Source organism: Homo sapiens, chromosome 5, assembly GCF_000001405.40.
Source record: "Homo sapiens chromosome 5, GRCh38.p14 Primary Assembly".
Classification (NCBI taxonomy): Eukaryota; Metazoa; Chordata; class Mammalia; order Primates; family Hominidae; genus Homo; species Homo sapiens.
Genome location: NC_000005.10, coordinates 83030273 through 83040929, shown reverse-complemented (window position 1 = coordinate 83040929; position 10657 = coordinate 83030273).

Genomic DNA, 10657 nt, shown 5'->3' with positions numbered 1-10657 from the left:
GAACCTTAATCACTGTTAACATGTGAGCTCTCACAGTGCCAGAAACCGTGCTGGGGACTTCCAATGCACTATCTCTCGGTTCTGGAAACAACCCAATAAGATCAGTGCTGTTATTATTCTGTTTATAAATGAGAAAAATGAAGTTTACTAAGTTAAGTAACTTATCCATGGTCAGATAGAGAGTGGATGCAGCAGAGTTTGAACCGGAATCCATGTCTGTCAGACACCAACACTGTGTTCTTGACTAATTCCAGTCTCCAGATCACCACTGCCAGTATTTTTCAAACTGTTCTTTCTCCTCCAAGGCATAGATAATTCCTGAGATTGCAGAAGAAGGAAAGCAGAGTTTTGGGCGCCCATTTGGGTAGCAGTTTTTGAATTCTGCATAAGACTTTATTTAAAGAAAGGGCCTCACTGTTAGAAAATGTTTGAAAACCACTGATCTAATTCACTTGCCTCATTTGACTTAAGGGACTAGAATATTTTAGAGATGTATTTAGTAATGGTCAATCTGAAACTTTATACAAAAAGTTTGCCAATCCCTGGTATGGAACACCGGAGCGTGATCCATGACTAGTGGCATCATTACTATTGGAAACTTGTTGGAAATACTGAGTCTTGGGCCCACCCCAAACTTTTAAATCAGAAACTCTAAGAGTGGAGCCCAGCAATCTGTGATTTTAGCAAGGCTTCTAGGTGATTCTGATGCAGACTAAAGCCTGAGAACCACTAGTATAGAAGGATTTTAAGATGAAAAATTTGCAACCCCAATGGAGTGGGCACTGTAGAGTGTTTTCTGATTCAAGAACTCAAGTCATAGAGTTTAATAGTAATAAAAATAACAGTGCTAATAACTGTGAGATTCGTGGCATACTTGAGGTATGTCAGACATGTTGCTTTCCATTCATGATCTTATTAACACCTCACAATAATCCTATGAAGTAAATACTATTGTTATTCCCATTTTGTAGCTAAATAAAATAAGGCTTCATGAGATTGAGTGACTAGTCACAGTGTTAGAAAGTGGTGGCTCCAGGCTGAGACCTAGACGGTTTGACACCAGGGTCAGAACTCTTCATGTCATATACCTCAGATTTTTGTAGGCTAGATAAATGAAAATGTTACTAAAAAGAAGAAAGCAACAATGAATGCTATCAGTGTTGAAACCAGTGAAATATGTTTGTATAAAAAAGTGGTACTGTCCGGGTGTGGTGGCTCATGCCTGTAATCCCAGCAATTTGGGAGGCCAAGGCAGGAGGATCACCTGAGGTCGGGAGTTTGAGACCAGCCTGACCAACATGGAGAAACCCTGTCTCTACTAAAAATACAAAAAATAGCTGGGTGTAGTGGCTGGCACCTGTAATCCCAGCTACTTGGGAGGCTGAGGCAGGAGAATTGTTGAACCTGGGAGGCAGAGGTTGCGGTGAGCCGAGATCACACCATTGCACTCCAGCCTGAGCAACGAGAGTGAAACTCCATCTCAAAAAAAAAAAAAGTGGCACTCGTATAATAACTACTCTCTCTTCTTGCCAGGGAAACTGGTTTTGGCTATACCACATATGTGGTGTTTCCTTAAGTAGATCTAGAGGAAACTCCACCAGCATTTGTGGCCACCTACCCTATATCCTATTTTGTTGTCTTTGTACATTTTAAATAAATTTTAAAAGTGAGATTTTCCCCCTCTTATTTTCAGATTACTGGGAATCTTGGCTCTTTCTTTACAATTTAGTTTTAATTACTTGTGTTTTTGTTGTTTTCCACGTAATTGTCACGATGGTTTACTTTGGTTGACTTTTCCATGACATCATGAGTTTTGTTTTCTTTTTCTGGTAAGGAAGGCTGAACAGGAAGAAGAGAATGCATGGGATGAGGTAGGTTGGGGAGAGAGAAGGAATAGACTAATACCAGGAGATGTGGAAGTAGAAAAACAAAACAAAACAAAAAAGACTCTTGGTACCGCAGGATATCCAATCTAGGCAAAAGACACCTAATACCAGTGATTTGACCTTTTTATATTAGAAAAACAAAACCATATTGAGATGTGAGAGACACTTGAAAGGTATAATTTGAATTTTGAACAATGTTTTCCATATGGTGCATATGTCATCCGTAATCTTCACAGGTTTCCAATTCACTCCTCAATGAAATTCATGTTTCTGATTTCATTCCATAAAGACTAGAAATTGTAGCCCTGAACACTTTAATAATATAGTGGAAAAATATGAAAAAAATGTATAGAAGTTAATGTTTAAATATATTTTACATATAGAATAGAGATTTATTGAGAACTAGCATTGATTTCTAGGGAATAAAGATTGTCAGGTTAATCTATATAGCTATAATAAAATAATTGACCTTGGATACTAAGGGCAAGTTAGAGAAAATTTTGCTTCGTGTTACAGAGCTTTTGTTTCTGTTTATTAAATACACTGAATCGACAACTGCATGTGAAGAATGTCACAAAACACCAGCTGACTGTACAAGGAATGATCATCAATTGATGGATTAACCTTGAGTCAGAGGTTGCAGTGAGCCGAGATTGTGCCACTGCACTCCAGCCTGGACAACAGAGCGAGACTCCGTCTCCAAAAAAAAAAAAAAAATCATTTGAATTAATCATCAGTTAGGATTAGGGGGAGGGCTTATTCTATAACACACCCACTAAATTTTGGGGTACCGAGATATGGGTGACAGTGGAGAGCCATTGAAATCCACTTTCCCCCAGACCTAAGGTTGATAATTTTTAGAATATTTTGTATTTTCAACTAATTGCAACTTTTTAACTTTTTTGGTTCCTTAAGGAATAATTAACTAGAAAAAAATAATTAATTGAGCTTGGTTGCCATGTGCTAACGTAGTGCTGGATTTCTGACTGTAGCTTCAGAAGATGCACTTTATCCACTTTCTCTGTCATGTCTACAGTGCACAGAGATTTGTAGCCCTTTAATGTTATCAAACTCACATCCTTTTGTACAGGACCATCGAGCAAACTTGGCTCATCAAATATGTTTCAGATTAGTTGAGAGAAAAAGACAGTAAAAAAAGTGCCAATGATATTCAAGGGAATCAGGTTTATTTGGGGGTGAATGGCATCCTGGCCCTTATTTGTGCTAATTGCCTGGTAAAAGAATTATTTTGGCTTCTGAAGGAGTGGGTATTTTATTTTATTGCTGCTTAATCTTCATTTTCCATATGAGGAGATTTTCTTCAGAAATATTCTGAAAGAAAAAAAAGGTAGTGGAAAAATATAGAGCCATTGGGAAAAAAATGGTTTAATTACATATGTCACCAAAATAAATTAAGGCTCCTTCTTCCAATCCTGCTTCCTTCTAATGACTCTGATAACTGAAGTGCTGAGTTTTATTAAATAGAGCAGAAGAGAACTCTCTGGAGATTAAAGAAGCTATTGAGATTTTCATACCTGCTGAAAAAGAAAAAGTCTCCCTTTTGTAGCTGACAGGCCCGTAATGAGCACATTTTGTAGCTGGAGAGAAAGAAAAAGAAGATGAAAGAAAAATCTTTTGAAGACTGAAGAAAGGGGAAATCCCACTAATATAGTGAAACCCCTTAATTGTTTTCCAAGAGACAGAAAAAAAACACTATTTAAAGGTCACATTGGCTTGTTTGAATTCGTTTGGCTTTCAGAAGATAAATATTGTGTATGGGAATATAAGAATGTCTGCTAGAAACCACTTTTGCACAATGAACAAAGGAATCATCCCTAATATGTGATTAACTGACGTTCCCTGCTCACCACAAATGTTGGCTTTCATAGACTTCAAGTGAAGGGGCACTTTATTAATTGGCTGAAGAATTCCTTAGAACGCCTAAGAGATTAAGACCACAGGATGCTTCAAGGTTCTTTCTTTCTTGAAAAAAAAAAAAAAGTATACAGATTTAAAAAACATGTTGACTGCAATAGCATTATCATCTATCTTAAGTATTACAGAATTAACCTATTGTTAGCCTTCAAAAATTTTCCTGCAACATGTCAGATTAGCTCAATGTCTATTAAATGGCCATTTTGGTTTTTCCTTCACCTTCAAAAAACAAGTCTAATTGTCATAAAATTTGCTCTCTCAAACCCAAATAGACTTTGTGACTTTAAATGCAGATTGCTAAATTATTCCCAAGGCAAGTGAAAGGAAGGATTGCACCCACCGTGCTGCTATTTAAAATGAATTTTAACCCCTTAGGCTGACAACTGACACAAACTCAGATTGCCACACACAGAAGCCAAGGGGTCTGTTGGAATAAGAGCTGCCATTTCCAATAAAAATAGAGTGCTGCAATAATGCCATGGTGAACAAGGTTTGTCGTTGAAATCATAGATCTGATCTAGATGAGATTAAGGGTGAAAAACTAGGGGGATATGAATGAGATTTTATGTTGGGTAGATTTGAGATGCCTTCTACACACTGCTGAGGCAGCCAAGGCTTCATAAACCCTACCTCTCCTCCCGCCCCTTCCTGCCCCCGCCCCCACTCCAATACATTGATTATCTTATGTTTGGAATGATTGATTCTTTTGGTTCCAGGAAACCACCCTGGGATCTGACAGGAAATGGTGGATTGTTTATTTATTTTTCAGTTAGGAAACAAATTGAGCTCCAGAATCTGTGTATTTAAAATTGGGTCTCATTTAGAAGCCACTCAGCAGCATGTATTCTAAATCATGTTCTGCTTATTATAATGTGTTTATTTAGAACTTTATATTTTATCACTGGCTTTATAATTCTTTAAGTCAACCATTCCCTGTATCCTCTTAGCTGCTAACGTCTCAATTCTTAAACACAGTTTGTGCAGCAGGATAGTTCACAGTAGTGCCTTGTTGAGGGGGCTATGTGTCTGTGCTGTCCTGTGTGTCTGTGCTGTCCCAGCCATCACCAGTACGGCTCTCTCTGAAATGTGGCTGAGTGCCCAGAGAATGAACTAGCTACTGCCTGGTAGAGAGGAGAACCAAAGGCTGGCACTTGGCAGGGGCCTGCACTCTTGCAGCTGCTGAGTGCTAAATTATTACTGATGTGTTTCTCCAGCCTTTCTCAGCAGAGCTAGCCTAATGCAGCATGAACCTCTCCTCTGGCCCTTAGCATGGGACTTGGGTTTCAGAGCTGGAATAAAGCAGGCCAACTGAGACAGCTTCTGCCCAGGGCAGAGCAGCACGCACGGCTGTCCTGCACAGATGCTGAAATGCAGTGGACACATGTCCTGCTCTTCATGTGTAGAGACTCCCACCGTGAGCCTAATGTGATCGCTTTAGAAGCTTGGTGGTTTTTACATAGGCATATGAATTGATCAAATTGAGCCTCTGAGGCAAAAATACACCACTCAGACAGAGCCTTTAACAAAGAGCAGCTCCCATAATGCTGAGGAGGGATGGTCTCTCCAGGAGACTACAGGAAAAGGTAGAAGCAGACTTTCTGCTTTCAGCTTAAAGAATCAAGCTCAATCAACCTGTGCTTCTCCAACCTGGCATTTAGGTGTCTTGTAATCTTCTAGTACACTGGTTAGGTGTGATAGCTGTGCATGGTATTTGTAAGAGAGGCAGAGAAGGCTCATACAAAGAGCCTAGGATTATAGACCACCGGTCTAGAACCCCTGTGTGACTATACAACTACAAATAACTTGGCTTCCTGTGCCTCCACTTTCTCATCCATCTCTTGCATGTGTAAATACATAGATTGCTAGCCTAGGTTATTTGATATAATTTTAAGGTAAATCTCCTGCAGTGCCAACGTAAGTGGCATTGCATGAATAGTCAAATCATAAATTATAACACAGTATTTTTATGCTGTCGTCTCCTAACATCCAACACTCAATTCTGCCCATCAGAGTGAGGCAAGCTGTACCCTGAGCCCTTTCCCCAAGGCTCTTACTTGAAAAAACAGGGCTTATCTCTCTTCACATAATTTCCTTCTAAGAGCCACTCAGAGCAGAGGGTGACAGTAATTACTGACAATTGATTTATCTTGCTTATAATGACAAACTTTGGTAAAATTTAGGAATTTATGATCAGATCTACCTATATTACTTATGTAAAACTAAAACACTCTGTTTGGCTTTTCTTTCTTTTTTTCTCAAGATAATGTACTCAAGGAAATACAACTTAAAAAACACAATTTTGTTAAAAATAATTTTTTTCAAAAAAAACCCACACACATTTTCCACACCCCTCCGCCTGCCCGCCAACCAGCTGGAACTTGTTCTTCCTCACTCATCTACCAAGAGGAAATTTACATTTAGCAAAGTAAGATGTCTCCTGTGCATTGTTCATGTTGGTTGTCTGATAGTCTCTGTAGTCCAAACAACTAAGTTGTTAACATTTCATTTTTCTGCCAGTTGCTTTATTGTAATGTGGATACTGCCTTAGAATATTTTCATGCTTTAAAATATGTTGTGCCAAAGAGGTTTGGAAAAAACTACATCTCCAACTCCAAGGCAAACCCATCCAAAAAAAAAGGTAGCATTAGAAGTGCTCTATATAGTGGTTCATATTTCCTTATACATTTTAATTTCCTCACTCACAAATCCTTCAAGAAACTACTCTCCAACATTCCTTTTTAAGCACAATCTTCAAGGAAATAAGAGAGAAAAATCAAGAAAGCCTCTTGTCACTGCAGGTGGCTTTTCATGGTGGCAAGAGTCATCTCCGGGAAATTGCCTTAATGTTGCACATATCCAGCTATTTGTGGTGAGAGCCTAGAAACCCACAACAGAGTCTGACAATTTCTCTGAGGGACGTTGTTTGCTTTTGGGAAATCCATTAACTCTTCCAGTCTCCGAGGATCCACTTAATCCAGCACTGTCTAATAGACATGTGAGCCACACATCTATTTTTAAATTTCAAGTGGCTACAATTAGCCATACTAGAATAAAAAAAAGCAAGTGTTATAAATTTTAACAATATATTAAGTTAACCCACTATATCCAAAACATAATTTTGACATGTAAACAGTATAAAAAACTATTAACAAAATATTTTGCTTTTGTTTTTAAAATCTAGTATGTATTTTGTACCAATAGCACATCTCAGTTTTATCCAGCTACATTTCAAGTGCTCAGTAATCACATATGCTAATAGCTACAGTATTGGACAGAACAGAGTTAATCCATTGCTTTTTACCAGGACATGTAATGCTGCCTGAGGGATCCAAAGGAATTAATGTCTCTGAATATGGACAGCTCATTACCTTTTGTTTTTACAAATGTTTTTTTAAAAAGCATTATTAGCAAAGTGCCTCCAAGACACACCAAGACATATAATCATTCATACCTTCAAAATGCAGTGATTCCGGACACTGAGATTATCTCAAATAGTACCAGATCTTACAACTTTGAAAGGTGGATAACAGAATTTCTACTTACTCACAAGATCACATATTTAGATTTCTTTTAATAAAATTTTATTTTAAAATAGTTTTAGATATAGAGAAAAATTGTGAAGATAATACAAAGAGTTACCATATACTTCATGCCCAGTTTCCCCAAATATTAATGACAATAAATTTGTATGCAATATTTGTTATGATTAATGAACTAATATGATATATTGTTATTAAGTAAAGTCCATGCTTTATTCAGATTTTCTTAGTTTTTTCCTAGTGTCCTTTTTCTGTTCCAAGTTCCCATCAAGATACCCTATTACATTTAGTCATCATGTCTCCTTAAGCTCTTCTTAGCTGTGACAGTTTCTCAGATTTTTCTTGATTTTATTAGCCTTGATAGTTTGGAGGTGTGCCAGTTAAGTATTTTATAGGCTGTTCTGCAATTGTGATTTGTTTAATTTTTTTTTTCATAATTAGCATACAATTATGGGTGTTTGGGAGAAAGAGCACAGAGTTAAAGTGCCACTCTTATCACATCAAGAGTACATACTATCTATTATGACTTATGACTGCTGATATTAACCTTGACCACCTGGCTGGGGCAGTGTTTGTCAGGGTTCTATACTCTAAAGTGACTCTAATTTACCTTTCCTTATTTTACTCTTTGGAAAGAAGTTATTATACACAGGGCAAACTTAAGGAGTAGGGAGTTATGCTTCACCTCCTTGAGGGCAGACTTGTTCTTTTGCATGAAAAAATTGTCTAGTCTCGCCTACTTATTCTTTTATTCAATCATTTTTTACGTCATTTGGAGTCATAAATATTTATTTTATACTGTGGGTTATAATCTAATACTACTTGCTTTTGTTGCTCAAATGTTTCAGCTTTGGCTATTAGGAGCTCTTTCAGTTGGCTTCTGTGTCTTTTTGACAGATCCCCATCACTGTGGTCTTTGGGTTCTGTTTGTTTTATTGTTTTGTTGTTGAGAACTGCCTTGCCTTCTGACACTGTAAGGTGCTCCAGGCTTGTCTTGTATATTTCCTGCCCTAGTCCTAGAATCAGATGTTTCTCCAAGGAACCCTGGTTCTTTTTAATGTAGAATGGTTAAACAACAACAAAACCAAGATCTGGGTGCTAGGTGTTTAACTTACTTACAGAGCATTGTCTGTAATTTATAATCAAGTTACTCTGGAAAAAAAAAAAGCAACATATACTATACTGAACACTTTCCAAGTGGCAGGCATACGGTAAAATTTGAAGAACATCTGGAATCTCTAGGAATATTACTAAGGCATTCCTGTCAGTGGCAATGCAGATGTAAGATTAAAAAAAATGTAAGATAAAAAAAGGGCAAACTAAGACTTTTCACAACCTTTTCTTGATGAGTCAAATATGAAAGATGGCAAGAGATTAAAATATTACATACTACCTTAAAAAAAAAAACCACCTCAGTGGAATCTAAAAGAAAATGTGTTGGCCCAAGGGAAGATTACTACTATCAAACTGAAAAAGAATTAAAATTATGCAGTTGTGTTTGTGTGTGTGCTGAATAGGTTGTAAGGGCTTTAAAAATTACTTTTTAAAAACTTGTTCCAAGCACAACGCCTGGTATATAGCATACAAGTGTTTCTTAAACAAATAAACTGGATTATAATTATAATTTCTAAATGTTTCTGCCTAACTTTATTATAAGCATTTAGTTTAATATTATTCAAATAATAAAAAAAAATTTAAGAGGATATTTTTCTGTTCTTACAAGAACAGAAGCTCACACTGAATAATATTTTACTCTGGTCTATTCAGTTGCCAAATCCTTTATACTGTTCCTTTCTTGCCCCACCTGCCCCAGTATCACAAAATCATTAAACAAAATTTTCAAAGAAGTCATGGAATGATCATTTTTTAAGGCAAAGTTAAACTAAGCCAAGTGAGCATTTCACTAAAACATTCCACTGGAGCTGGTCTTGGAGTCATGAAGGGAGGCATTTAGTCCAACTATGGAAAAAGCAAAGCAAACCAGTTCTGGTATTTGGTTTAATTCTTCTGCTTCTAATTGAGTAGGGCAGTGACCTCATGCTAGCCCTGCCCTATGCTGGTTTGATATCCACTCCCTTCAACTGGCCACCCCAGCTTTTTCTGCAGGCTGCTGCTCTCCACACTCGCATCCTTCTTTCTATGCCTGTGTGATGTCTTCAGTCCTCACATGCATCTTGCTTCCACTTGCCCTTAAACCATCAGATATTCTCATTAACACTTCAGTTTGGGGCCTATTTCATCTTTAGAAGAGTCAGCACCCCTGGTGTAATCCAGAAACCATGATCTAGACCTATACTACTTCAGACTTCTTGAACTTTTGAAATAAAACCTTAAAAACGTTGAATTGTTCAACTACATGTGATTAAGGTCCTATATTAAAAGTCTATTTGGGAGTTATCTTAACAAAGGTTTTAAGAAAACAGTAGCCTGTGTTCTCAATTGTTCTCTCTCCCTAGATAATATATTTAAATTAATGTGTATTTCTCTTCTCTCTCTCTCACATACACACACACAGCCATTTAATCCAAGCTTTCATTCAAACCAAGGATCTTTCCACAAAATCCCTGAGAGTCAACTTTTACTGTTTACTAAAACTGTCTTCACTGTGTGGAGCTTACTTCTTTGTGAAGCTTGGTGTTTCATTTGGACAGGCCAATTTATGGAAAGCTGTCCTTCATACTGAACTGAAATTGATCTTTTCATCTGTGCCTATCATTCCTGGAATCAAATGAGATACCATATCCTGAAATTTTTTGAAATGGCAAAGCACTGAATAAATATAAAATATATTAATGTCAGTTCTACTGTATAGAGTTTGAAAATTTGACAAGCACACTGTCCTCTCCAAGTCATTGGAATAGATGAATATGAGAACAGAACAAGAGAGATACTCTGCACAGGTTTTGGAAGTGCTCCTTTCAATTTGATATTAATCCATTAATCAGTATTCTTTAAACTACTCTATTTAAGCAGTGAGAGGCAGGGACCAGGTTAAGCCAAGACCTAGAGAATAAAAACAAAGCCAAAGTAGAAAGAAAACCAGGACCCACCACCACCCCAGGCCTGCAGCAAATACATCAGTGTTCACTCAAGGCCCAAGGACCCTTCAGTCAGCTTGTGATGAATACTGTTGAGCCTGGGACTCTCCCTTCAGGACAGTGCTCCCCTCTAGCCCAGGAAAAGTCCAGTAATACCATCCATGTGCCAAGGCCTCGAATCATGGACCCCAAGAGCCCACTTGGTTCTCTATCCCTCTGTGGCCAATATGGTACCTAAGCTTCAAGACAAAGTCGGCTT